The 26,246-nt window shown below is 45.5% G+C and overlaps 2 protein-coding genes and 1 long non-coding RNA gene across 6 annotated transcripts in view, besides 2 other annotated features; 1 reads left to right on the top strand and 2 right to left on the bottom strand.

Moving 5' to 3' along the window:
- SZT2 (SZT2 subunit of KICSTOR complex) overlaps positions 1-18,530 on the bottom strand; it is a 64,349-nt gene extending 45,819 nt beyond the window's left edge. For both annotated transcript variants that reach the window (NM_001365999.1, NM_015284.4), the window contains exons 1-4: positions 18,434-18,530; positions 5,127-5,252; positions 4,655-4,828; positions 3,879-4,049 (exon numbers count right to left, since the gene is read on the bottom strand). In NM_001365999.1, the coding sequence (NP_001352928.1) occupies positions 3,879-4,049; positions 4,655-4,828; positions 5,127-5,252; positions 18,434-18,460 (498 nt within the window). In that variant the 5' untranslated portion in view covers positions 18,461-18,530. The remainder of the gene's footprint in view (positions 1-3,878; positions 4,050-4,654; positions 4,829-5,126; positions 5,253-18,433) is intronic.
- Positions 18,210-18,539: a silencer, noted in NCBI's record as "silent region_783". NCBI's record gives its function as "represses an Ori minimal core promoter by ATAC-STARR-seq in GM12878 lymphoblastoid cells {active_cell/tissue: GM12878}" and the evidence as "EXISTENCE:reporter gene assay evidence [ECO:0000049][PMID:35858748]".
- On the top strand, positions 18,629-24,512 carry MED8 (mediator complex subunit 8). Of its 3 annotated transcripts, NM_052877.5 has the most exons (8): positions 18,629-18,670; positions 20,001-20,119; positions 20,782-20,926; positions 21,431-21,571; positions 21,759-21,840; positions 22,203-22,451; positions 23,323-23,383; positions 23,877-24,512. In NM_052877.5, the coding sequence occupies exons 1-8, from the start codon at positions 18,665-18,667 to the stop codon at positions 23,977-23,979; spliced, it is 906 nt and encodes a 301-aa protein (NP_443109.2). In that variant the 5' UTR covers positions 18,629-18,664; the 3' UTR covers positions 23,980-24,512. The 3 variants fall into 3 exon arrangements, with proteins under 3 accessions (NP_443109.2, NP_963836.2, NP_001001653.1); NM_201542.5 differs by having other exon boundaries at positions 23,323-24,512; NM_001001653.3 differs by having other exon boundaries at positions 19,940-20,119; positions 20,800-20,926; positions 23,323-24,512.
- Positions 19,980-20,119: an enhancer, noted in NCBI's record as "active region_918". NCBI's record gives its function as "activates an Ori minimal core promoter by ATAC-STARR-seq in GM12878 lymphoblastoid cells {active_cell/tissue: GM12878}" and the evidence as "EXISTENCE:reporter gene assay evidence [ECO:0000049][PMID:35858748]".
- On the bottom strand, positions 22,703-23,380 carry MED8-AS1 (MED8 antisense RNA 1). Its single transcript, XR_001738027.1, has 2 exons — positions 23,288-23,380; positions 22,703-23,145 (listed from the first exon to the last, which is right to left on the bottom strand). It is a non-coding gene; the product is annotated as an MED8 antisense RNA 1 (long non-coding RNA).
- Positions 24,513-26,246: the final 1,734 nt, after the last annotated feature.

Here is a 26,246-nt window from a genome sequence, read left to right as displayed (position 1 = left end):
TAGTCAGGTATGGTGGCATGCACCTGTAGTCCTAGCTACTTGGCAGGCTGAGGTGGGAGATCACTTAAGCCCAGAAGTTGAAGGTTACATTGAGCTATGATCATGCCTCTGCACTCCAGCCTGGGCAACAGAGTGAGACCCTGTCTCTTAAACAAAACAAAAAACAGGACATAAAATCACGTGTCTAGAATGAGCCTCTTGATTCTCCCTTTCTCTTTGGGTAAAGAGATGGAGGTGAGGGAGGATAAAGACACACTCACAAAATTAGAAGAAAGTTCCATAAAATGTTAGAATTTAAGCCAGGAGTGGTGGCTCACGCCTGTAATCCCAGCACTTTGGGAGGCCGAGGCGGGCAGATCACAAGGTCAGGAGATCAAGACCATCCTGGCCAACACTGTGAAACCCCGTCTCTACTAAAAATACAAAAAATTAGCCGGGCGTGGTGGCGGGCGCCTGTAGTCCCAGCTACTCGGGAGGCTGAGGCAGGAGAATCACCTGAACCCAGGAGGTGGAGGTTGCAGTGAACCCAGATCATGCCACTGCACTCCAGCCTGGGTAACAGAGCAAGATTCTGTCTCAAAAAAAAAAAAAAAAAAAAAAAGGTTAGAATTTAATACGATACCCAGAAACAACTACTGTTGTTTGCACAACTCCTGTTGTTTCTGGGTATTGTATTATAGATGAGTTTTGTTTTTTCTTTATATTTTAATGTATTTTTCAAATCTCTGTGGACATGTATTATATATGTGAATTAACTTTTTTCTTTTGAGACAGGTTCTCACTCTGTGGCCCAGGCTAGTCTCAAACTCCTGGCCTCAAATAATTCTTTCACCTCAGCCTCCCAAGTAGCTGGGATTACAGGCACGCACTGCTGTGCTGTGATTTAACAGGATATATCTTGTTTTTTTTTTTGGAGACAGAGTCTCACTCTGTTTCTCAGGTTGGAGTACAGTGGCGTGATCTTGGCTCATGGCAACCTCTGCCTCCCAGGTTCAAGCAATTTTCATGACTCGGCCTCCCAAGCAGCGGGGATTACAGATATGCACCATCACGCCCAGCTAATTTTTTTGTTGTTGTTGTTGTATTTTTAGTAGACAGGGTTTTGCCACATTGGCCAGGCTGGTCTCAAACGCTTGGCCTCATGTGATTCACCTGCCTTGGCTTCCCAAAGTGCTAGGATTACAGGCATGAGCCACTGCGCCCAGCCAGGATACATCTTGAGGGAGCCACAGAGAAAATGAAAAGGCTGGCTCAGGGCGGCCAAGTGGCCCTGGGGCTTAACTGATGAAATCCTCTCCTTCCCTATAGCTGCTGTCCTTATTCAGGCTTCCTCCTCTCTCCCATGCTACAATAATCTTCGCCTATTCTCCCATCCAGACTTTGTCCCCAAATCCATCCTCCATATTAGCCACAAAATACTGTGATCTTCCCAATGTAGACATGTGATCCTGTTACTGTCTGTTTAAAATTTTCAGTAGTTCTCCGCTACCTATGGCTAATTATTTTAATAGCTAACATTTGCACATTCTGTATGTGGCAAGCACAGTTCTAAGTGCTTGACATGTATTAATTCAATCACCATATGATATAAGCAATGTTAATATCCCCTTTGGAAAAAGGTCACAGATGCACAGAAAGGTTAAGTAACTTGCTCAAGGACACACAACCAGTAAGTGGTACTGCCAGGAAGCAAACACAGGCAATGTGATTCCAGATCCAGTGCTCTTATCCTCCACACTGAACTCCCCCATAGAATAAAGCACAAAGTCCTTAGTGTCACATTCATGGCCTTTCATAACCAGCTCCCACTTATGTCTACAGTCTCCTCTTTACCATCCCTTTCCACATTCAAATTTTACTCTGTTGACACTGAATAATATGTAGTTCCCTAAAACACCTGTGATTGAGAGTACAGGTTCATAGTACCATGTATTTGCTTTTGCTGGTCCCTCTGTCAGAAAAGTCCATTTCCCCTTCTTTGAATGGTTAACCTCAATTCTTTCTTCAAAACTCAGTTCAAATGCTGCTTTGGGCCAGGCACAGTAGCTCATGCCTGTAATCCCAGCACTTTGGGAGGCTGAGGCAGGTGGATCACTTGAGGTCAGAAGTTCGAGGGCAGCCTGGCCAACATGGTGAAACCCTGTCTCTACCAAAAAAAACAAAAAAAACAAAAATTAGCCGGGTGTGGTAGTGGGCACCTGTAATCCCAGCTACTTGAAAGGCTGAGGCAGGAGAATTGCTTGAACCCAGGAGGTGGAGGGTGCAGTGAGCCAAGGTTGCACCACTGCACTCTAGCCCGGGCAACAGAGCAAGACTCTGTCTCAAAAACATGAAAAACAAATGCTGCTTTGTCTGAAAGACTTCTCTATTGTGGCCCCATGCTTGGTTGGGTGCTCCCTCTTGGTGCTCCCATAGCACCTGAGTCATCTTATCGGTGCCCTTATCACATTCAACTACAATTACCTCCCTTTAATATTTATCTCCCCCACTAAAATCTCAACTCTTCACATCAGGAGAAAGACAAGGTCTGATTCATCTGTGTCTTCAGGACCTGCTCAGGCCTGGTATAGCTCAGGCTTCATTAAGTGTTTGCCAACCTGAACCAAGTTTTGAGTGATTACCTAACATCCATGCTCTCCCTGCCTTGGCTATCAGTGCCTGCAAAACCTGGCCCCCATCTGGGGATGCAGCCCACAACTGATAGTCCTAACGGCTATACTAGGAAAGCACTTTAAACTAGGGCAGAGGGCTGGCAATCCCTGCCCTGGGATCCAGGTATGCACCAATTTTGTTGCTGTATGTTTCAGACCCTTAGATCATGTTCCCAATATCTTATCTCTCAAATCCAGTTTGATAGCTAAGGTGACAATGCAGCCATCACGGACAGTTTCAGGGAAAGCCTTTACCAATGAGTTAAGGGTAGTTAAAAGCAGATGAGGGGAAACTGGGCCAATGCTTATCTAAGTCATAAACAGATATTCCAGTAACAGACTTGGCCATTCTCCAAAAGGAGTGTCTTGTGATAGCCTCCTTGAGTGCTGGATAAGCCCTGTAATTATCTGTGTGGTCAGCATTATAACCAACAGTTCACATGGCCCTCAAAAAAAAAATGACCCACACTGGGCACGGTGGCTCACGCCTGTAATCCTAGCACTTTGGGAGGCCGAGGCTGGCAGATCACCTGAGGTCGGGAGTTCAAGACCAGCCTGGCCAACATGGCAAAACCCCGTCTCTACTAAAAATAAATAAATAAATAAATAAGCTGGGCCTGGTGGTGAGTGCCTATCATCCCCGTTACTTGGGAGGCTGAGGCAGGAGAATCGCTTGAACCCAGGAGGCGGAGGTTGCAGTGAGCCAAGATTGTGCCATTGCACTCCAGCCTGGGCAAAAAGAGCGAAACTCCGTCTCAAAAAAAGACAACAACAAAAAATGACCCTCCTCTATCCTTGAAACCAATTACATTTCTGGGTTATGTGCTGTCTTTCAAAATCACAAAACTATTCCAAAAGACCATCTCCTGAGGGTACTAGCCAGAGCCAGCGCATCAGCAAACCATCCAACAGAACTAAAGGAGAAGAGGGGAATGGAGAAAACAGACATCCAGTGGTCAGAATCAAAGAGATTTACAGGAGCAGTGAAAAAGGCAGGTGTCCAATCAACACCAACTGACCCGAAGTCTATAGGAAAGCCCTTTAAGTCCAGAGGAACTGGTTCTTCTCAAGGAGAGAGAGACTCATGAGGATGACTAGAAAACAGGTTCAAGAAGCCAGCAGAGCTCGGGACTTTGGGGACAAACAGCAGAGACAGGATAAGGACTTGGTCAGAGGACTAATAGAAATTTGGTCTGAGGGTACAAACTTGGAGAGATGATGCAATACCTGGTGGGACTGCAGTCCAATGATGGAGGAGTAGGCCTGGATAGTTACATAGATCTCAGGCTGGAAGTCGATGCAAGATCCAGGCACTCGGAAGGGCCGAAGCAGCCCGCCTAAGCAGCGGGACAGGGCATGGAAAACTTCATCAAACAAGATCTCCCCTGTGGAATCATCCTGAGGGCAGAGAAAGAGCACTCAAGGGGGTCCAAAGGCAGCCCTAACCAGAGGGCAGAAACATGCAGCTTCCATGGGTCAGTAGGACACTTAACTTATGGATGATCGCACACCCAAATACAGTGCCACACATGGAACAGTTTCTGGGGTGTTTTTTGGAAACAAAAACAACAAAACCAGGGTCTTGCTTTGTTGCCCACGCTAGAGCGCAGTGGCCTGATCCCGGCTCACTGTAGCCTCGACCTCCTGGGCTCAAGCAATCCTCCCACCTCAGCCTCCCGAGTAGCTAGGACAGGTGCATGCCAGCATGCCTGGCTAATTTTTGTATTTTTTATAGAGAGGGAGTTTTGCCATGTGGCCCAGGCTAGTCTCGAACTCCTGAGCTCGAGTAATCAGCCCGCCTTGGCTTCCCAAAGCACTGGGATTGTAGGCATGAGTCACCACAGCTGGCCCAGTGCTCTTTTTAAACACCCATCATTCCTTTATAAGCCTGTCTTCTCTCCAAAATGGTAGGCTGGGACCATTTTTCACTTCCCCACAGGCCTCTCCCTCTCCTCACACCCCACCCCATCCTTTCTTCCCACAGTCTCCCTTCAATCCTTTACCACAATGCCAGTAGATGGGCTAAGGTCCAACTCAATGACAAACCGATACTGCCAAGCCAGGAAGGTGACCCGGGTGGAAGGTACCAGGAGGAATGGCCTTGGGACCACTGGTTCATCTGGCTGCCACCCAGGGGGCAGGACACTGAGGACTTCCAATTCCTGTTCAGACTGAAGCTGAAAATTAGGATGGAAAGAAAAGGAAAGGATCAGCGAAGTATCCCTTTCTTCCCAGGACCTGCCTTCTATATCCCAAATGACACATCATTGGCTCTACCTCCCTCAATCTAACCGTATACTCTTCCTCTCACTCTCTGGAAAAATTATTTTTTAAAATTTCCATCATCTTGTAGGCAGTCCCTTGCCCTAACCAGACTTAAGAGTTAGTCTCCCACCCTGTCTGTTTCTAGCACTCTCCTAAAAAACAGATCCTTCTGGGCTGGCCCCTCACACCTTTCGTGTGTCTAAGCCTCACCAGCATCTCCTGGGGTGTGGCCTGCACAGTTTGGTGCAGATGACTGAGGAACCAAGCCAGGCGAACATTTCGGGAGATTCGATAATCCTTTTTCATTAACAGGAACACCTGCCCAGCTTCTTCCACCTGGGAACAAAGAGACATTAATACATCTTTAAAAAATGGCACCGAGTACCTGGAACACACAGATCACTGTCCAAATAATTTGCCCAAGGAACTCACCATCAATGAGAGGGAAAACAGCAGAAGTGAAAAGTTTACCCCAACCTCCATGCAAGGTGTTCCCAGGGAGTCAATTCTCAACTCTCTGTTCCTGTTTGCCCGATACAGACCTCCATATAGATGAAGTGACCTTTCCATATTGTTTCCACAAAGTTTATGTGAGTTTCACCTATAAACTATAAGCTTTTGAGGGCAGGGGCTGTGTCTGATTCTACTTTTGTGCCCCTGTGCTTGGCAAATTGCTACAAACAGAGCAAATACCAGGACAAGTCCCTAATACATTACACGAATGCCAGACAGTTACTCCTAACAAGTCTTGACAACAGCAGGCACCGAAGAAATTTTCACCGAAGGAATAGCAAGCCTTCCAAATACCTCAAAATCAAACCTCTGTGGGTCACAGTCCCCACCCCCGCACTTCTCAGTTGTCAGCCCTCTAGTTCTTGCCTCCATTGCCTCATAGGTGGCCACTTCAACAATGCTCTAACAAGCATCGGTTCCCTTGCCCATGTCCTTGTCCTTCCACTACACATGTCCTGTCAAATCTTATCTGGGGATGAATCTGACATTTTCCCTTATCCACACATATACTATGGCAGCTGCACTTGGACAGAAAGAAACTTGTCACCTTGCCAGCAGTGCCCACTCTAGCAGGCCTTTACCAGTCCTCTGAATTCTCCTGGCCAGCAGCCTTTCCTGTTCCCCACAGGAGGTTTTCCAATCTCTCAATCCCCTCCCAGCAGATAAACTTGCCCACAGTTCACTGAGGAAATAAAGGTCAATTGGTCTGAACTCCCCAATGTCTCTTCCTGATTAATGCTTATCTGTCACATTCATTACTCCCTTTCTCTTGTCTGTCCTACACAAATGGCAAATTTCTCCTCCTGTGTCCCTGATTAATGAGGGAAAGAACACCAGGTGGCAAGAACTGAAGAGCAGGTAGTAGAGGAGAAACGAACAGAAGTTAATAACTACCTGTTGAGAAACATGATGTTGAAAGAAAGTGAAGAATTATTTTTTCCAAAATGGGGAAACATGCATGGAGAGAAGACTGAAAAAGCCCTGGAAAACCAATAATGAAGAGTTTCTGATGTCAGAGAAAAGTGTGGAGAACAGATACAATGGCTGTGAAGTTGTAGTCTTTCTTCTGCTCCAAGACAGAAGGAAGGGGTAAAAAGATACAGAAAGAGGTACTGGAAAGTGATAAGGATGATAGCAGAAGGCAAGAAGGAGGAACTCACATTTATTGAGCATCTAAGATATATGCAAAAGTACTATGTAAAAGAAAAAAAAAGGGCTGGGCGCAGTGGCTCATGCCTGTAATCCCAGCACTTCAGGAGGCCGAGGCGGGTGGATCACCTGAGGTCAGGAGTTCGAGACCAGCCTGGCCAACATGGTGAAACCCCGTCTCTACTAAAAATACAAAAATTAGCTAGGCGTGGTGGCAGGCACCTGTAATCCCAGCTACTTGGGAGGCTGAGGCAGGAGATCGCTTGAACCCAGGAGGCGGAGGTTGCAGTGAGCCGAGATCACACCACTGCACTCCATCCTGGGCGACAGAGTGAGACTCCATCTCAAAAAAATACAATAAAATAAAAAGTAAGAAAAAAAAAGTACTCTGTAGAGGCCAAGTTCAAGAATTTCAGGTTCAGAAAGTCTGGGTTTGAATCCCAATTCATCCACTTATTAGCTGTGAGACAGTGGAAAGGTTGTATCACCTCTTTAAGCTTCAATGTCCTCCTTTGTAAAATAGAGAATTCTAATACCAATCTAAAGTGCTGTTCTGTGGATCAAGGAATATCATGCATATGAAGTGCTCAGCACAATGCCTGGTAAGAGTAAAAGTTAACAATAACAGCTGGGCATAACGGTTCAAGCCTATAACCCCAACACTTTGGGAGATTGAGGTGGGCAGGCCGTTTGCACCTAGGAGTTCAAGACCAGCCTGGGCAACATGATGAAACCTCAACTCTACTACTAAAAACACAAAAATTAGCCAGGCGTAGTGGCTCGTGCCTGTAGTCCCAGCTACTCTGGAAGCTGAGATGGGAAGATCACCTGAGCCCAGGAGGTCGAGACTGTAGTGAGCCATGATGGCACCATGGCACTCCAGCCTGAGCAACAGAGCGAGACCCTGTCCAAAAAAAAAGTTAACTATTTATTACAGTTAACTATTACAACACTATACTAGGTTCTTTTTTTTTTTTTGAGACGGAGTTTTGCTTTTGTTGCCCAGGCTGGAGTGCAGTGGCACGATCTTGGCTCACTGCAACCTCCGCCTCCTGGGTTCAAGTGATTCTCCTGCCTAAGCCTCCCAAGTAGCTGGGATTACAGGCACCCGCCACCAAGCCCGGCTAATTTTTGTATTTTTAGTAGAGACTGGGTTTCATCATGTTGGCCAGGCTGGTCTGGAACTCCTGACCTTGGGTGATTCACCCGCCTTGGCCTTCCGAGGTGCTGGGATTACAGGCGTGAGCCACCACGCCTGCCCTATACAAGTTTTTTACCTAAGTAAGCTCATTCAGTATTCACAACAAAACATTTAACAGGAGAAAACAGAGGTCCAAAAAGTTAAGTGATTCAACGTAAGTAGTAAGTGTAGGCTCAGAAGTCAAACCAAGGCCTGGTGAGCTGCAAAAGCCCATCTACTGAGAGTGACAAATGGATAAAACTGAGGGCTTATGAGCAGAAGAGATTTTAAGTCATGAAAAGGAGCACAATGGGGGTAATGAGCAGAAAGGATGTTTTGACATAATCAGAAAGATAAAAAGAGAATTTAAATATCAATATGTTGCACTTGCGTATTATATTCTCTCTGTAACATCTAAAATCACATCTTGGGGCTAGGCACTGTGGCTCAGACTTGTAATCTCAGCACTTTGGGAGGCCAAAGCGGGCAAATAACTTAAGCCTAGGAGTTTGAGAACAGCCTGGGCAAACGGTGAAAGTCCATCTCTAAAAAAAAAATACAAAAATTAGCTCGGCATGGTGGTGAGCACCTGTAGTCCTAGCTACTTGGGAGATTGAGGTGGGAGGATCGCTTAAGTCTGGGAGGTTGAGGCTGCAATGAGCTATGATCACACCACTGCACTCCAGCCTGGGCAAAACAGCAAGATTCTGTCTCAAAAAATAAATAAAAATAATAATAAAATGAAATTACACCTTGGGAGATACTACTCTCTGTTACACTGCTTTCCAACACTGTGTTGAGACAGGTCCTGGCTAGGATTTTGGATTCATCCTTTGAGTGAGTTTAAGCTACTAAAGGAATTCCACAAGACAGTAACATTATATCTGCATTAAAAAAAATTCCCTCTGGTGGCCGGGCACCATGGCTCACGTCTGTAATCCCAGCACTTTGGGAGGCCAAGGCAGGCGGTTCACGAGGTCAGGAGATCGAGACCACCCTGGCTAACACAGCGAAACCCCGTCTCTACTAAAAATACAAAAAATTAGCTGGGTGTGGTGGCGGGTGCCTGTAGTCCCAGCTACTCAGGAGGCTGACGCAGGAGAATGGCGTGAACCCGGGAGGCGGAGCTTGCAGTGAGTCGAGATCACGCCACTGCACTCCAGCCTAGCGAGACTCCGTCTCAAAAAAAAAAAAAAAAAAAAAATTCCCTCTGGCTACTGTGTGATTTAGAAAGCACCCTCCCACCGCAGACTAACAACTAGGGGAGATGACAGTGGCTTAGACTAGAGCTACTCAAAGTAGCCATTCTGTGAACTGTGTGAGACTGGGTCTTGATGAGATAATGCCAGGATGCAAAACCACCACTATCTTTCACGGTGAAAGTCTTATTATGGAAAACAAAAAGTCAGCTGAACTAAACAGTGAACTTAGTTGTATTTCAAGGGATCTTTAGGATAGGACAGAAAAGAACTGGTGATTAATTATAAGTCAGGACATAGGAGGAAAGTAACAAAAAGGAAGGTATCAAGGATGATTAAAGTAGCATTGGAAACCAATACGCTGCAAAATGATTTTTTTCTTTTTTTTTTTTGAGACGGAGTCTCGCTCTGTCGCCTAGGCTGGAGTGTAGTGGCGCAATCTCGGCTCACTGCAACTTCCGCCTTCTCAGTTCAAGCGATTCTCCCACCTCAGCCTCCTGAGTAGCTGGGACTACAGGGGCATGCCACCATGCCTGGCTATTTTTTGTATTTTTAATAGAGATGGTGGTTCACCATATTGGCCAGGCTGGTCTCGAACTCCTGACCTTGTGATCTGCCCGCCTCCACCTCCCAAAGTGCTGGGATTACAGGCGTGAGCCACCGCACCCAACCTACTGCAAAATGATTTCTAAGTTAGCTACAAAAAGTAGATAGTTATTCCTGACTACCACACCCCATCGAAAAGTCCCATCAAATTGTACACTCTTATCGCCATGCTCCTAAAAACAGAAAAGGGGTCTATTTATTGGCAAAGAAGGAAATCACAGCAATTACTCACCCTTTCTTTCTCTGATCCTTGGTTTTAGGGTGGGATACTAAACCAGGCAACCTCTCCTTCAGGTTTGACTTAGCTAGTGTGGGTGGGATATTATGTGTTGACTATGCTGGATACTGCCAAAGTTCTTATCTAAAAAAGCATGTACAAGAGACTTACTGGAGTTTTAAAAAAGAATTTTTTTGTTAAGGGATGGTTTGGGGCTCAGAGCATTATCAGAATAGGAAGGCTATCCTAATTCAGCAGTCATTTGTTTATCACTCTGTCTCCAGAGCCCAGTGCAGTGCCTGGCACATAGGATGTTCAATAACATTTCTCTAAATAAGTGAATTCGCTATGGTTTTTTCTCCCCACCACCACCTCTTCCCCTCTCGCTATATGTTCTAAGCACGGCAAACTGGACATTTAAAACTAATCATAATTAGTACAACTTTTCTCAAGATGAGATCACCTTAACACTAGTGTCAACACTACTTTCCTTTTGTTCTTTGGTACTAAATACTTTTTGTTTTCAAATGCCAGCCTGTTTCAGCTATGCAAGGAAAAACCAAGGAAAAGCGTTTTGGCCCACGTAAGGCCAGGGTTAAAAGGGGAAGAGCACATGGTTGTGGGTCAGCACTATAAGGACAGAGTTGGGCACGTGGTCACCTCATCTTCTAGGACTAAAATCACGGCAAATCTAGGTTTAATAAATGAACCTTTCCATGACTGTCTGCACTAAGTTAGGGTCCTATGTTGGGCATTCACACAGCACTCTGTATTTTTTCTTCATGACACCTGCCAGAGTTTATAATTAAGAATTTGTAGGGGCCGGGCGTAGTGGCTCACACCTGTAATCCCAGCACTTTGGGAGGCCGGGGTGGGTGGATGACCTGAGGCCAGGAGCTCGAGACCAGCCTGGCCAATGTGGCGAAACCCCACCTCTACCAAAACATACAAAAATTAGCCGGGCATAGTGGAGCACATCTGTAGTCCCAGCTACTTAGGGGACCGAGGCAGGAGAATCGCTTGAACCCAGGAGGTGGAGGCTGCAGTGAGCCAAGATTGCACCACTGCACTCCAGCCTGGGCAACAGAGCAAGACTCCATCCATCTCTCCATCTCAAAAAAAAAAGAATTTGTATACTTTAATGTTTGTTTCCTGTATAAGTCTGAAGATCCAGCGAGGTGGAGGCCATGTCTACATATTGTTTCTTTTCTTTTTTTTTTTTTGAAATGGAGTCTCGCTCTGTCACCCAGGCTGGAGTGCAGCAGTGCCATCTTGGCTCACTGCAACCTCCGCCTCTTGGTTCAAGTGATTCTCTTGCCTCAGGCTCCTCAGTAGCTGGGACTATAAGCACGTGCCACCACACCCAGTTAATTTTTGTATTTTCAGTAGAGACAGGGTTTTGCCATGTTAGCCTGGTCTCGAACTTCTACCTCAGGTGATCCACTGGCCTCAGCCTCCCAAAGTGCTGGGATTACAGGTGTTAGCCACCACACCTGGCCTATACATTGTTTCTTGCTGTAACCCTAGAGCCTAGCACAGTGCCAAGACATACTAAGTGTTCTAATAATAACTGTTGAATACATGTATGAACAAGGAAAACTAATCTCACAAGCTGTATTTATTCTGTTTCCAGCTATTCTTAATTTGTTACCAATAATTTCTAATTTTTCACTCTTCTATCAACATGGTTTTTGTTGACGAAGAGTTCCTGTCCTTTATTCACTTCATCTTTCAATCATTTATGGACAAGGTAAGCTATTCTATTTTTGGAGTTTTTCCTTTGCTTCCACAAACATCGTTTTTACCACATTTTCACTAGTATCTTCTTCTTTATTGTTCCTGGAACCCTGGGGGAGTGCAAATGGGGGTTCTAACAGATTTGCTTTATGTTCCATTAGCTTTGTTTTAGAAAGAACAGTGTTACAGAAAGAAAGTGTTGTGATTTGACAGCTAAGACTCTGGGTGAGCTTCCTCCTGTGTAAAAATACCAGCTAGCCCAATGATGTGTGAAAGCACCTTGTAAAAAGTAACGTGTATAAATGCACAGATTAGTAATAACAAAGTGTTGCTGTTTACCTCTCTTCTTTGAGTCAGAAGTCCTGCACAGCCATTCACTTCAGTGTTGTTTCTTTGTTTTTTTTGCCCATACCTGTTTAGTTGGTAGAGTTGGGAATGTCCTCACATAGAGCCAGAATCTGTCTTTTTGATAATATCTTGACCTACTCTTAAAATCTGTTGTCTTGAAAATATCTAACCCACTTTTTGTTTTACCTTCTAAGGCCACACAGGGAGAATCTGACCCTCTGCCAAACGAGAGTCTATTAAACATGTGATGACAGCCCTGAGTCTTTACTTTTCTAAAACAAACATCTTTGGGTTCTTTAAGTGTGTCTCAAATGGCATGGTTTCAAGTTTCCTCACTATTTTATATCTTAGATTATGTGCCCATGAATGAATTCTGGCTGGTCTACTTTACAACTTAAAATGTGGGGACCAGAATGGAACATAATACTCAAATGAGGTCACAGATTCAGATTCTCCTAGGTTATACTTGCTCAGGAAACCTCCATGACTTTCTCACTTGTGCTGCTGTCCAAACACATCTCCCATTTTATCCTCATGCACCTGGCTTTTTTGGACACATACGATCATTCAATTAGTCCTGTCACTTGGATAAATTCAGCCTATTATTTTATGGTGAAGCTTAAGAGTGTTGTTTCTTCTTCTACTAAATCTCTCCAGTTTGATTTCCATGCTAACTTGTTCAGGGTGCCATCATGTCCTCATCGAACTCCAAAAAGAACAAAGGCAAGGTAAGCATGCATGCATTCACTCAACAAATTTATGAAAAGCCTGGTACATGCTAGGCACTGGGCTGGGTCCTAATGATACAATGAAAAGCAAACACATGCATTCCCTGCTCTCATAAAACATATTCTATAGTGAAGGACAAAAACATTGATCAAATAATCACTGTGACTATTGTATAATTACACACTGAGTAAGTGCTCCGAAGGATAAGAATGTGGTTCTACAAAAACAAGTAACAGCCACGTGCAGTGGCCCATGCCTGCAATTCCAGCACTTTGGAAGACCAAAGTGGGCGGATTACTTGAGCCTCAGGAGTTTGAGACTAGCCTGGGCAACATGGCAAAACCCTGTCTCTACAAAAAATTATGAAAATTAGCTGGGTGTAGTGTCATGTGGCTGTAGTCCCAGCTACTCAGGAGACTAAGGTGGGAGGGTCGCCTGAGCCCAGGGAGGTTGAGGCTTCAGTGAGCCATGATCATACCACTGCACTCCAGCCTGGATGACAGAGCAAGACCCTGCCCCACTCCCTGACCTCCCCCTCCTCCCAAAAAAGCAAGCAAGTAACAAAGTAACCTGTTCAGGCTAATACCTTAAGAGAAAGTGATGCTGAAGGTTGAGCAAGGTTTGTTAAGTGAGGAGAGAATGGGGGTAAACGAGACAGAGGGCACAGACTATTAGAAAGCTTTCTTCCAATTACCAGTTAGTAGGCCACTAAATTTTACTACTGTACAGCTTCCATTTTTTCCCACCTTTCCTTGAAGGTTATTTTGAATGATGGACTGACTCTCCAAAGGCACAATGAAGTCTAGCTCATCAATCAGTTCTTACAGAATCCACCTTCCTGAAATCAAGAACATTTGCTGAACATTTGCCTAGTCTTCTTGCAACATCCCCCTTTACATATGATCCTTCAAAGTCAACAACTATATTTTCTTTTTCTTTTCTTTTTTTTTTTTTTGAGATGGAGTTTCGCTCTCGTTGCCCAGGCTACAGTGCAATGGCACCATCTCGGCTCACCGCAACCTCCACCTCCTGGATTTAAAGCAATTCTCCTGCCTCAGCCTTCCGAGTAGCTGGGATTACAGGCATGCGCCACCACGCCCGGCTAATTTTGTATTTTTGGTAGAGACGAGGTTTCTCCATGCTGGTGAGGCTGGTCTCAAACTCCCGACATCAGGTGATCCACCCGCCTCAGCCTCCCAAAGTGTTGGGATTACAGGCATGAGCCACCGCGCCCAGCCCAACAACTATATTTTCAAAACATCATTTCTAAGTTCTCTTCACTTTCAAGATGTAATTTATCATAACTAGAAGACTTAATAATTTAAGCAGCTAGAATGGTGTTTTTCAAAGTGGGATCCAAGGACCAGCTGCATGAAAAATCACCTGAAGTGCTTATGAAAATACAGCGTTGAGTCCCAGGCACCACCCCAGACCAACTGAATTAAGAGTTGATGGGCTCCAGACTGGGTGCTGTGGCTCACACCTGTAGTCCCAGCTACTCAGGAGGCTGAGGCACAAGAATTGCTTGAACCTGAGAGGTGGAGGTTGCAGTGAGCCAAGATCACGCCACTGCACTCCAGCCTGGGCGACAGAGCAAGACTCCATCTCAAAAAAAAAAAAAAAAAAAAGAGTTGATGGGCTCCAGAATCTACATTCTAACAAGGTCTCCAAGTGATTCTTCCACATTAACATTTGAGAATCCCTGAATTAGTTCTCAGAGCATCCACACTCACATGGAGCTTCAAGTCCTCATATGAATCCTCCTTGAGTCTGAAGTTCATTACTCTCAGAGTAGTCTGGCAAGGAAGACAAAGTAGAGTTTCGGGGTCAGGGACCTGGATTCAAATCTGATTCTATCATTTGCTATATAGGTGACCTTGGACAAGTTACTTAATTTTTCCAAGCCTCGGTTTCTTTATTGATAGTATGTGGATAAGAATATCTTCATAGGGATGTCGTTGCAATTAAACAGGAGAGGAAGGCTATCATTCTTTGGAATATTTATTGAGGTCTACATACCATTTATACCAAGATGAATAAAACATTACCAGGCACTGTGCTGCATACCATGTATACCAGGAAGAATGAAGCATGGTCCATCTCATTAATTTGTTGCTTTGTCTTTTTGTGCCTGTCCCTTTGTGATTAAGGTCTGATTTGTTCAGCCTTTTCTAACCCTTGTGCTGTCTTTTGTTAACACATTCCCACAAAATAATGTGGATTATTTCCCCTCTTGAACTGGCTAAAATCTTCTTACCACTATACATCAAAGTCCTGAGCCTCTAGCATGGCCTCAAGCTGCATCTTCTCCAGCCTTATCTCTCACCAATCCCCACGCAGTTAAAAGCATGTATTCCAGTGTTAGAGCACTTAGGATCAAATGCTTGCTCTGCTGATTATTAACTATATAGTTTTGGCAGAGACTTACACTCTCTATGCCTCAGTTAGCTCATCTGTGAAACACAGATAATAAAAGTGCTTATTTTCAGATAATTTTTGAGTATCAGATGATACTCAGTAAGCATTCAGTAAGTGCTAGCTATTCTCATTGTCAAACTGCATCCACACAAGGAGTTGCTTCCTCTTAGTTCTCTGAAGGCTCCACTGGGCTCCTTCTCACCTGAAGATCTTCACTATTCCCTTTGCCTGCAATGCTCTCTGCCTCTTCTTTTAGAAAACTTCTACCTATTCTTCAGGCTTCAGCTTAAATGTCATTCTTCTGAGTCTTCCTATTCACAACCCCTTGCCTCCCCATTTCTTAACAAGGTAGGTTGAGAACCACTGTTAAACACCCTAATTCACTCCTTTACAGCACTTATTATCCTAATTCAATCCTTGTTTACTCCATAAAGATAGAGAGCATGTCTGTCTTACACGGCTCTGTATCCACCCTGATACTTAGCACAATTCTGACTCCTACCAGCACTCGTAAAATATTTCAAGTGTGTGATGAATGAATGATTTCCTAAATCTGACTATACCCAATCTTTCTCTCTTGGGATCCTAACAGCCTCTAAAAGTCAATAACTTTATTACACCCAGGGGCAGAACTCTTCAATCTCTTTACCTTCTGATAAAATTTTCAGAAATGCAAATCAGGGAGTTAAAAAATGCTTAACTTAGGCTGGGCACGGTGGCTCACGCCTGTAATCCCAGCACTTTGGGAAGCCGAGGCAGGCGGATCACGAGGACAGGAGATTGAGACTATCTGGCTAACACGGTGAAACCCCGTCTTTACTAAAAACACAAAAAGTTAGCAGGGCATGGTAGCAGGCGCCTGTAGTCCCAGCTACTTGGGAGGCTGAGGCAGGAGAATGGCGTGAACCCGGGAGGCGGAGGTTGCAGTGAGCCAAGATCGCACCACTGCACTCCAGCCTGGGCGACAGAGCGAGACTTCGTCTCAAAAAAAAAAAAAAAAAAGCTTAACTTTTGGCTGAGACTCCCAGGATTGTGTGTCTTGACTTGAAATTACTTTAGATCTGTACTGCTCTATATGGTAAAGACTACTATATGGGGCTACTGAGCACTTACAATGTTGCTAGACCAAGATGGGATGTGCTATCAGTGTAAAATACAACACTAGATTTTAAAGACTTGGTACCAAAAAAAATGTTAAATATCTCACGATGTTTTGTATTTTATTACATTTTGAAAATTTTGGGAGTTTTGGGTTAAATATATAATTACATTTTATTTCATTTGTTTCATTTTTTTTTTTTTTTTTTTTTTTTTTTTTTTTTTTTTTTTTTTTGAGACGGAGTCTCGCTCTGTCGCCCAGGCTGGACTGCAGTGGCACAATCTCAGCTCACTGCAAGCTCCGCCTCCCGGGTTCACGCCATTCTCCTGCCTCAGCCTCCCGAGTAGCTGGGACTACAGGCGCCCGCCACCACGCCCAGCTAATTTTTTGTATTTTTTTTAGTAGAGACAGGGTTTCACCGTTTTAGCCAGGATGGTCTCGATCTCCTGACCTCGTGATCCGCCCGCCTCGGCCTCCCAAAGTGCTGGGATTACAGGCGTGAGCCACCGCGCCCGGCCTTGTTTCATTTTTTTATGTGGCTATCAGAAAATTTAATATTACACATGTGGCTTGCTTTAGATTTCTACAGGACGGTGTTGTCCTAGACTATCTGCCTAAAAGGTATGTTGCATTTCCCCACAACATCCCTCCACCTCCTTTCACTTTAATCTATAATGAAACATCCTCTAAACTGTTTCATAGTTTTTCTTGTGTTAATATTTCTGATTGATCTTGATTGATATTTCTGATGCATGAGCTATTCTACCACCTCTGTGAACATGACTATTTTAAATAAGGCATAGTTTCCTACCACCATATTCAATGTTGGGTCTTACCACACCAAATCCCAGTGAACTGGAGATTTACCATTCTGTGGCTACTTTATTACTTATACCATGAACAATATGGTTAAGAACACAAGGACTGGAGCCTGGCCATCTGTTTTGGAGTCCTGACTCTAATACTTAATAGCTGTGTAACTTTGTTACTTTTTTTTTTTTTTGAGACGGAGTTTCACTCTTGTTGCCCAGGCTGAAGTGCAATGGCATGATCTCAGCTCATCGCAACCTCCACCTCCCGGGTTCAAGCGATTCTCCTGCCTCAGCCTCCCGAGTAGCTGAGATTACAGGCCTGCGCCACCATGCTTGGCTAATTTTGCATTTTCAGTACAGACAGGCTTTCTCCATGTTGGTCAGGCTGGTCTCGAACTCCTCACCTCAGGTGATCTGCCCACCTCGGCCTCCCAGTGTTGGGATTACAGGTGTAAGCCACTGCGCCCGGCTTACTTTGTTACTCTTAATATCTCTGTGCCTCAGTTCCTAAACTAAAAAAAGGAGATGATACAGTGTCCACTTCATAGGGCTGAGGATTAACTGATATTGGTAAAGAGCTTAGAATGGTACTGAGCATGCAGTATGTATGCAGTAATGAATACTATTTCTATCATTATACACATCTCTCACCCTTCCCACCTACTGATATGTTGGCACCTTTCCTGGTGGTGGTGTTTTATCCGAATCTGAGATTTTAAGCTCAGATCTTCTAACTCCAAACTGCTAGTTCCTGGATGAGTGGCATTTGAGTAAGGTACTAAATCTTTCTCATTTTTCAGTTTTCTCCTCTGTGAGAATGCCACCTTCCTTGCACAAGTCTGAATGACACAACATATATAAGGTTCCTTGCATGTTCCTTAGCATTTAACGAATATATCATATCACCTTTCTGGTTTATTACATGTGATTCTCACAACACACTATAAGACAGATATTTTATAAAGAAGGAAACAGGATCCGGGAAGACTCGCCTGAGGTTGCACAGATTAGCTACATGACAGCGCCAATATTGGAACGAGGTCTCAGTCCGACTCAAATGTTTTTTTCATGAAATTAAAGCTGCTTTTCTAAAAGCATGAGCCCTAGAACTAAATAAATTCATGCTGTTTATGGTATTCCAATGCCTAAAGAAATGCAAAAACCAGCAAAGTAAATCTACTGCCGTGTTGCCCATTGAAACTGCAACAGAAAGTCAAAATACAAGTTTTGTTAACACCGCTATAAGTCTTAGAGACGACGACGCGGGTGACATGTCAGTAAACAAAACAAAGCGAACAGTTACTCCTTTAGCTCCCCGAGGAAACTGCGGACCGCGTCCCATACACAGTCCGCAGGGGTACCATAGTCGGGCCTTCCGGGCTGGGCTGGTCCCTGCCGAGGCTACGCAGCCCGGCCACCCCCAGACCTAGAGGAGGCCAACGCCACGCCTGCCCGCCGGACCCTCCCCCTCGGATCTCGGGGCCCAGTGCTGCGCCCGCCCGCCCCTCACCTCCGGCTCCGGGCGCTCCGAGGCCATCACACAGCCCTCCCGCGCCGGCCCGGGCCAGTGAGGGTGTTCCACTCTTGACCCCTGACCTCGCTACCTCGGCACCCAGCAGGAACCGGAAGTTGGTGGGAGGGCCGAGTTCCAGTTTTCTGATTGGTGGACGAAGCCTTCTCGTAGGCGTTTGCTGACTGGAAAACCGGAAGTGAAATCGTGGCAGCCGCCTCGGCCGCCGCAATGCAGGTGAGAGTTGCGTTGGGCGTACTAGCGGCTGGCAAGCTTCGGGTACAGGGACCGAGAGTGGGCTGGCTAAGGAGAATGAAGAGTTGGGACTGAGAAGAGAGGGCAGAACCCACGGCTGATAAGGGAATGTGGGCTGGGGGGCGAGGCTAATTGGAGCGGGAGCGGCGGCGATTAGAGGTGGGGGTGGAGCTTGCCTGACAGGAGACAGTCGGGCTAAATCCGGAGGGAGGAGGCAGCACCTGTTTGCTTGGCGTGGGAAAGGATTAGGTTGTAATACGGGGAGGCTGAGATGCAGTCCAAGGAAGACGGCTCAAGAAGGTGGTGGGTTGGCTCAGGCCCTGTCCTAAGCTGCTGGATGGAGGCTGTTGGTTGCCGATATAGCAGGGGATCTAATTGGAAAGAAGCCCAAGCAGTGAGGGAATTGTGGGCCGCGATGGCTGAAAGCTAAGCAGCTTATAATCAGAGGCCATGGTGGAACCCGGGATCAAGTTTCTGTCAGGCAGGTTTGCAAGACAGTTTTGCATCCCTCTTCCCAGCCTGTGCCCTATAGTTGTTAAGGGTGAAGAAATGGAGTAAAACAGGAGACCACCGATGGGAAGGAAATGCTTTGCAGACCCCCAGCATTTTAATTTGTTTGTCCAGTGCTTAGAAGCATGTGTGGTTTTTGTTTTTCATTTGTCACTTAGTTTCTTGCAGCTGGTAGTCTCAATAAATGTTAATGGGTTGACTGAGCTTGTGAAAGAGGCACGGGAATATTGACACAGAGATAGATGATTGCATATTAATTCAGCAAGGAGAAGGTTGAAACAAAATGATGAGAGCAGATGGAAAGCTGGAGTCGTTGGTTGGGGGAGGGAAAGGGGAGAGCAGGACTGGTGTTCAGAGAAGTCTTCATGAGTAGGCAGATTTCCCAGAGACTGACAAGACAGCCAGGCTCACAGATGCTAGGATGGAGGAAGCTGGAGTGCATGTGCTACAGAGGTGCACATGAGAGAATGATCTCCTGGCATTAGGTCTGTCGAAAATGTCTCAGTGAGGGAGTGTAGGGTGTACCTAACACAGAGAAAAACCAGGCATAGATTAGGAGGTGATGGGGAAAAGGAATCAGTTGGTGGAAGGACTTGGGGTCAGGCAAACAGGTTGGAAGGTCTCAGGGTTGATGCTGTCTATAACCCAAATACCAAAGATAGAAAACAACCTGGCTATCCTATGCCAATGAGATCCTGTGTTACCTGACTGGTGTTGCACACCATCTCCTTGGCTTTCCAGCCCTCCTTTCTATGTGTCATACTCGTTTATCTGGGTGACCAACCTGTTCCTATTGGTGCAGAGAGAGGAGAAGCAGCTTGAGGCATCATTAGATGCACTGCTGAGTCAAGTGGCTGATCTGAAGAACTCTCTGGGGAGTTTCATTTGCAAGTTGGAGAACGAGTATGGCCGGCTGACCTGGTAAGAGTTACCAGGGCAAGCTAGGAAGGGCTTATGGGTGGGGGGGCCTAGCCTCCTGATGAATAGGACATTTCTAATGATGTAACCATTTATCAGTTTGCAAACATCTTTTGATTTGGAAAGAGCTGGGTTTCCTAACATTTAGCAAGTGGATTCCATGGCAAGGAAGTAGAGAAATGCTCAGTTTCCTAACCCAAGTTCTTTCTAGCTTTCAATTCTTACCCTTTGACTTCTCTGGTGAGGAGGTCCTCCCACTACAGCTCTATTCGTGCTGGATCTCTTGCCACAGATGTGGCTGAGTCTTTTAGAGCCAACCTACTCTGAAGTGTGGATCTTATTTCCAGGCTGGAAAGGAGGCTTTTACCCGGTTTCTGAAGTTTTAGTTATAACAGTGTAGCCCTGGTTCCTATTTTGCCACTGTTCCTCACCCCATTCAAACAATGAACTGGGTTTTTTCTACGTCTGTTTCATAAACTGAAACTATGTCCCTCTTTCATAGCCCTGTCATCCCTGTTAGTCTGTTCCCACTTAGGCTAGTCATAGGGCTATGAGACTTTTGGAGGTGAATCCAAGTGTTCCTAGCCTGAAGGAACTAGGACTATTTTACTAAGAACCACCCAGGGAAGGGGTACAACATTCTTACACCTTGTTACCACCACCAGGCCATCTGTCCTGGACAGCTTTGCCTTGCTTTCTGGACAGCTGAACACTCTGAACAAGGTCTTGAAGCATGAAAAAACACCGCTGTTCCGTAACCAGGTCATCATTCCTCTGGTGTTGTCTCCAGACCGAGATGAAGATCTCATGGTAAGAGGAGAAAAAGAATACAACTTGGGAAATTAAGGGGTTTTTTAGGCTTCTTTAGTATTTAGGGAAATTAAGTTATTAGCTGAGAGCCTAGAAATAATTTTGGAGGCCTTGCTTTTTGTTCTTCTGAAGGCGGGAGAGCCACTCCCAAATAGTGCTGTAATAACCTGAGGGGTATGTCACCAAGGCTGATACCTTTCTTCTCCAACATCTGTCTCAAGCCACAAAGTTTGCCCTTTTGTGACTTTGTCTATTCCAGTCTTTGAAGCGTGGCAGACAGTGATAGTTTAATTTGCCCCTAGGTCTGGTAGAGATAGGGATGTGAGAAGACACAAAAAATGAAGGATGGAGTAAAGGAGAGTGTGTCCTAGCAAACTAGATATTATGTCTCAGGTTGTATTTTCCTTGAAAATGCACTGTTTGCCTGTGGATGGGACTTTATGTCAGGCCAGATAGAATCTTCTTGGAGTACAGAGTAGGATCAATAAAATCTGTGTGTTACAGCGGCAGACTGAAGGACGGGTGCCTGTTTTCAGCCATGAGGTAGTCCCTGACCATCTGAGAACCAAGCCTGACCCTGAAGTGGAAGAACAGGAGAAGCAACTGACGACAGATGCTGCCCGCATTGGTGCAGATGCAGCCCAGGTTGGACTGAGTCACTGCCTTGCTGCCCCATCCCCATCCCATCATGAGAAGCTAGGCATTACCATTCCTGTCTAGTAGGGATACATAGTTGGTTGCGCCTAAGTTGCTTCTGGCAGAACCCAAGGAATAAATTTCTCCATATCGTTTCCTAGTTACCCTAATCTCTGCACAAATTTGTGTGTTACAGAAGCAGATCCAGAGCTTGAATAAAATGTGTTCAAACCTTCTGGAGAAAATCAGCAAAGAGGAGCGAGAATCAGAGAGTGGAGGTATGATGGGACTGGTGGCTAAACAGAGAAGGAGAGGTATATAAGATCACTGGAATGGGAATGGTTGTTTTGGAAGTAGTGAAGTTAGGACACAAGGGTGAACTGCTTTGGGGTTTGTATCCATTCTGTTAGCCTTTTGTATTTAAGGCCAGCACTGAAGCAGTGGAGGAAATGGGCAAAGTAAGAAGAGAGAATTCTGAGATAGGCTTGGGGGTCCTCTGGCTCTTTTTCTGGGCTGTGAGGGAGTCTAGATGTTGCTGAATTCAGAACTCCAAACCCTGGCACTCATACTGGTCTTCCAGCTGCCACGTTCAGTCCTGCATCAGAAGCATACTTCAGGATCCCCATTACTTTTTCTTCAGGTCTCCGGCCGAACAAGCAGACCTTTAACCCTACAGACACTAATGCCTTGGTGGCAGCTGTTGCCTTTGGGAAAGGACTATCTAATTGGAGACCTTCAGGCAGCAGTGGTCCTGGCCAGGCAGGCCAGCCAGGAGCTGGGACGATCCTTGCAGGAACCTCAGGATTACAGCAGGTGCAGATGGCAGGAGCTCCAAGCCAGCAGCAGCCAATGCTCAGTGGGGTACAAATGGCTCAGGCAGGTCAACCAGGTAAGGTGGCAGGGGTTGAAATGAAGCTGACTTTGAGCAGGAGTGGGAGGGAATAAGCTAGATTATCTGGGCCTCCAGCATCTCTAGACCTAGAGGTTTTCTCTATTTCTCCTTTTCACTGTGACCCAGGAAATAATTTTCAGAAGTAAAAAAATCTCATCTGAGACTCTGCAACAGGCACCAGAGAGTGAGGAAGAACTTTGAGTAACAGAAACTGCTCCAATTTCTCATCCGCATCTCACATCTCTGTGTCAACTATCCTTCTATCCCATTTATTCTGGTATTAGATATGTTGTCAGTGTCTCTTGTTAGGTAGAGAAATCAGCAGTCAGATCTTAAGACCATTTGGTAGGTGCATCAGGAATTGACACGCAGGCCAGTTTTCCAGTCCTACATGTATTCTTTTCTCTGTATCCTGCCTCTCTTGCTCTTGGCTTCCTGCCTTCTCTCCTACTCATTTTTAGAACAGTCTAGATGCAGGCAGCTAGAAGAGTTATTTCCTCCAAGCTGTCTAGGAAAAGGGACAATTAAAGAGAGATTCTGCACTTATTATGATATAAAAAAAGAAAAACAATGAGAGAACATAGTACTCTTTTACCTGTGACGTTAAATGGGAGTCACACAGGTTTAGCTATCTGTTCTAGGAGTGGATGAACAGACTATTCTCCCATGTCACTTCTTTCCTCCTGGACACCTTCAGGGAGACAGCTGGGTGAAGAATCATACTTCTGACCTCTGTCAAACAGGGTCAGATGCCGCAGAGGTTCTGAGATGATAAAGGAAGTGACAGAGGGAACCTGAGGTACCACATTTCTGATTTGTCATGAAAGTCTTACCTTGCTTAAGATGACTTTTTTAATGTTCCTTTCAGGGAAAATGCCAAGTGGAATAAAAACCAACATCAAGTCGGCTTCCATGCATCCCTACCAGCGGTGAGTGTGGCTGGCAACCTCGACTCCCTGGTGCTCTTTGCAGAGTTGGGCAGTGAAATTACCTTTTGCTCAAGGCTCACCTAGATGGGTACAATAAAAAGAACATGGGCTTTCAGCAGCAGACAAATCCCACTTCCACCACTGACTAGCTGTGTGACCTTGGACAAGTGACCTAATTTTTCTGAGCCTGTTTCTCATTTGTAAATGGTGATAATACCTACCTCATAGGGTTGTTGTGAGGATTAAAATGAGGAAATGAATGTAAAGCACTTAGTACAGTATATGAAATAATGGGTATTCAATAAATGATAGTTTCTACAGATCCTTCTCCCCACCACCCTCCACAGTCCTTGATCCAGAACTTACCCTAATCTGATACTGCCTCACGTCAATGGTGAGCTGATGGACACAAGATCAAATAAGGCTATGCTTATTTTGTGCTGCCAGAAACTGTAGCAACCTCTGTGTTCTTAGAGGCACACTGTTTTTGCAGGCCCTCCTGCCTGGGTTTCATTCTGGCTATCCCTCTAAGGCGCAAGGTGAAGAAGCTTCTGGGCCAGGAAGGAAAAAAAAATGCCCACCTGCAGCTCTGGTGAAGCTTGGGCCTGCTCTCCTTTCCATCCTCTAAGGAGCCAACTTGGCTTTTACCTGTCAAATAGTCATAAAGTCCCCTATCCTTTACCCCACCTTATACACACGAGGCTTTCTCAGGAAGTGGCTCTGCCAGGCAGGACTATGTGGGAAAGGGTTTTTCCTTAGCACACGAAAAAGCCCCTTCCCCTGGATTCATGTTTCTTATTTTGGAGGGAGAAGGGAATTGCACTTCACACTGCCATCAGGGTTTAGTTGACCTCATAATGGTGCCCACTTTCTCGACTTTGGCCAGGATTTCCTTCAAAGAAAACGACTTTCCTTCATTTCCCTAAGCCTGTGGCCCAAATGGTGGACCAGAATGATGGTGGGAGGGGGCAACCCCCAGTAGCTTTGCCTGCTTTTATAAAGTTGAACAAATTGAATTTAGACATTCAGGCTAACCTGCCTTTCTTAGTACTCCTTTGTTGGCATGGGCAGGGGTTGAGTCAGCAGAAGTGGACCAAAGGATTCCTCTGAATAAAGTTATTTAAATTGATGTTCACTGGCTCAGGGTTGTCTGACAGTAATTTATGAGAGCACTACATAGGGATCAGAGGGGCAGTTTCAAGAGTGCTGCAAGGCAGTTCTAATTTGTTCTCCATAAAAAAGTTTCCGTATCTTTAATTAGCTTTGATCTAAAAATCCTGAAACTTCCCTCCTGCTCATACCTTCCAGCTGCCTTTTTTCTGTTCTGTCACACACTGGTACTTTGGCATTTGTTCAGTGCCAAACAAAGTTCTGCCAGGCTGTGGCAGCAAAGGACTGGAAAAGTGGTCCCAGATGTCACATCTGTTACCATTCCATCAAGGTGAGGAATGGTATCCACAAAGCTCACTGACCACAATACATAGCAGTAGGGGAGTCTGGTCACCAGCTCTAAGGCAATGCCAGACCTTTCCCCCACTTAAACTGTTCCGGCTCATCAGCCCACTCAGGTGTTATCTTCTCACCTCTTCCCTTCCCACTGGAAATGTCAGTATTAACTGGCATATTGGGTAGAGTTTGAGCTGTGCTTCTCTGAAATTCCTGGAGCATCTTTTGGTGACTATTGTCCTTTACTCCACCAAAAGATTCCCTCCTATTGAATGGCACCAACCCCAAGTTTTTTTGTGTCCCAGGCAAATACTGACTTCATCCCCACCATACTATTAAAATGGATTCCTTGTCATCCAAGAATGGAAATATCCTCTTGCCCCAACAGGAACATATGCAGGATGTCACCTACATCTTGTTCCCCTAAGCAAACACTCCTTCCTCTAGAGGGACTCCTCTACATTCATCACCGTAGGAGCACATGCTGTCGTTTTTATCCCCCATCCTCAAATCATCTGGAGTACACAAATCTCAGTAGTGTCTCCCACTTTGGGGTCCATACAGCCTATTAAATGCCTCAATAGAGAGTATGTATCTCCCACCCCTAACATACTCATTCCCTCAGGAGGGAATACATATACAGTTTTCCTTTGAAGAAGGGGACATGACCTATTTACTGGCTCAGATTTAGGATTTGCAAAAGGTGACTATTGGCCTACTCTGGTAACATTCCTCTGTTTTTGACTGTCCTGTTTTGCTTGGAGATCGTGCTTTCTCCTATTCTTGGGTCCCCTGGAGAAAGAGATTAGGCCATTGTCTCCTAGGTTTGTGTCTAGGATGGAGAAAGAAGCAGCAGCTGTGAAACGTCAAGAGCTTACTACAGGACAGAGTTCATCCTGCTGAAGGCGGAAGCTTATCCAATCAATGTCAGCATAAGGCCCATTGCCTAGGATCTCTCCCTCTCCAGCTCTGCCCTGAGCCTGGGATTCAGTCATTGCTGAACCTCTCTTTTGCTCATTGTGCCAGTCACCCCATTCTGTTCCCCTTCTGGTGTTTATTGCTGCCCTACTTAGCTGGTGTACCTCATTCAACCCTGTCGTTTTTTGGGAAACAGCCAAGATAGATAGGTTGTAGCCAAGTGCTCCTTAGAACTCCATAATGGGTCCCAGCATTAGGATTGAGCTGGAGGGGGTGTAATTGCCCACCTCCTGTTGTGCTGCCACAGAGAAGAAGCTGAACTCTGCAGGAATGCCCCAGTGCAAGGCTGGTCCCTTTTCCCACCCCCCTCTCACCTCCCCCAGGCAGCTGGAAACAACCTCTCCCTTTGTCTGAGCTTCTTGTACAGAATAATCCTCCTTATGGACAATGTATTCTCTGTGCCCTGTGGACACAGGAGCTGTGTAAGCTGATCCCAGCA

The sequence above is a fragment of the Homo sapiens genome, chromosome 1, assembly GCF_000001405.40.
Source record: "Homo sapiens chromosome 1, GRCh38.p14 Primary Assembly".
NCBI lineage: Eukaryota > Metazoa > Chordata > Mammalia > Primates > Hominidae > Homo > Homo sapiens.
This window is presented reverse-complemented; position numbering and strand designations above follow the sequence as displayed.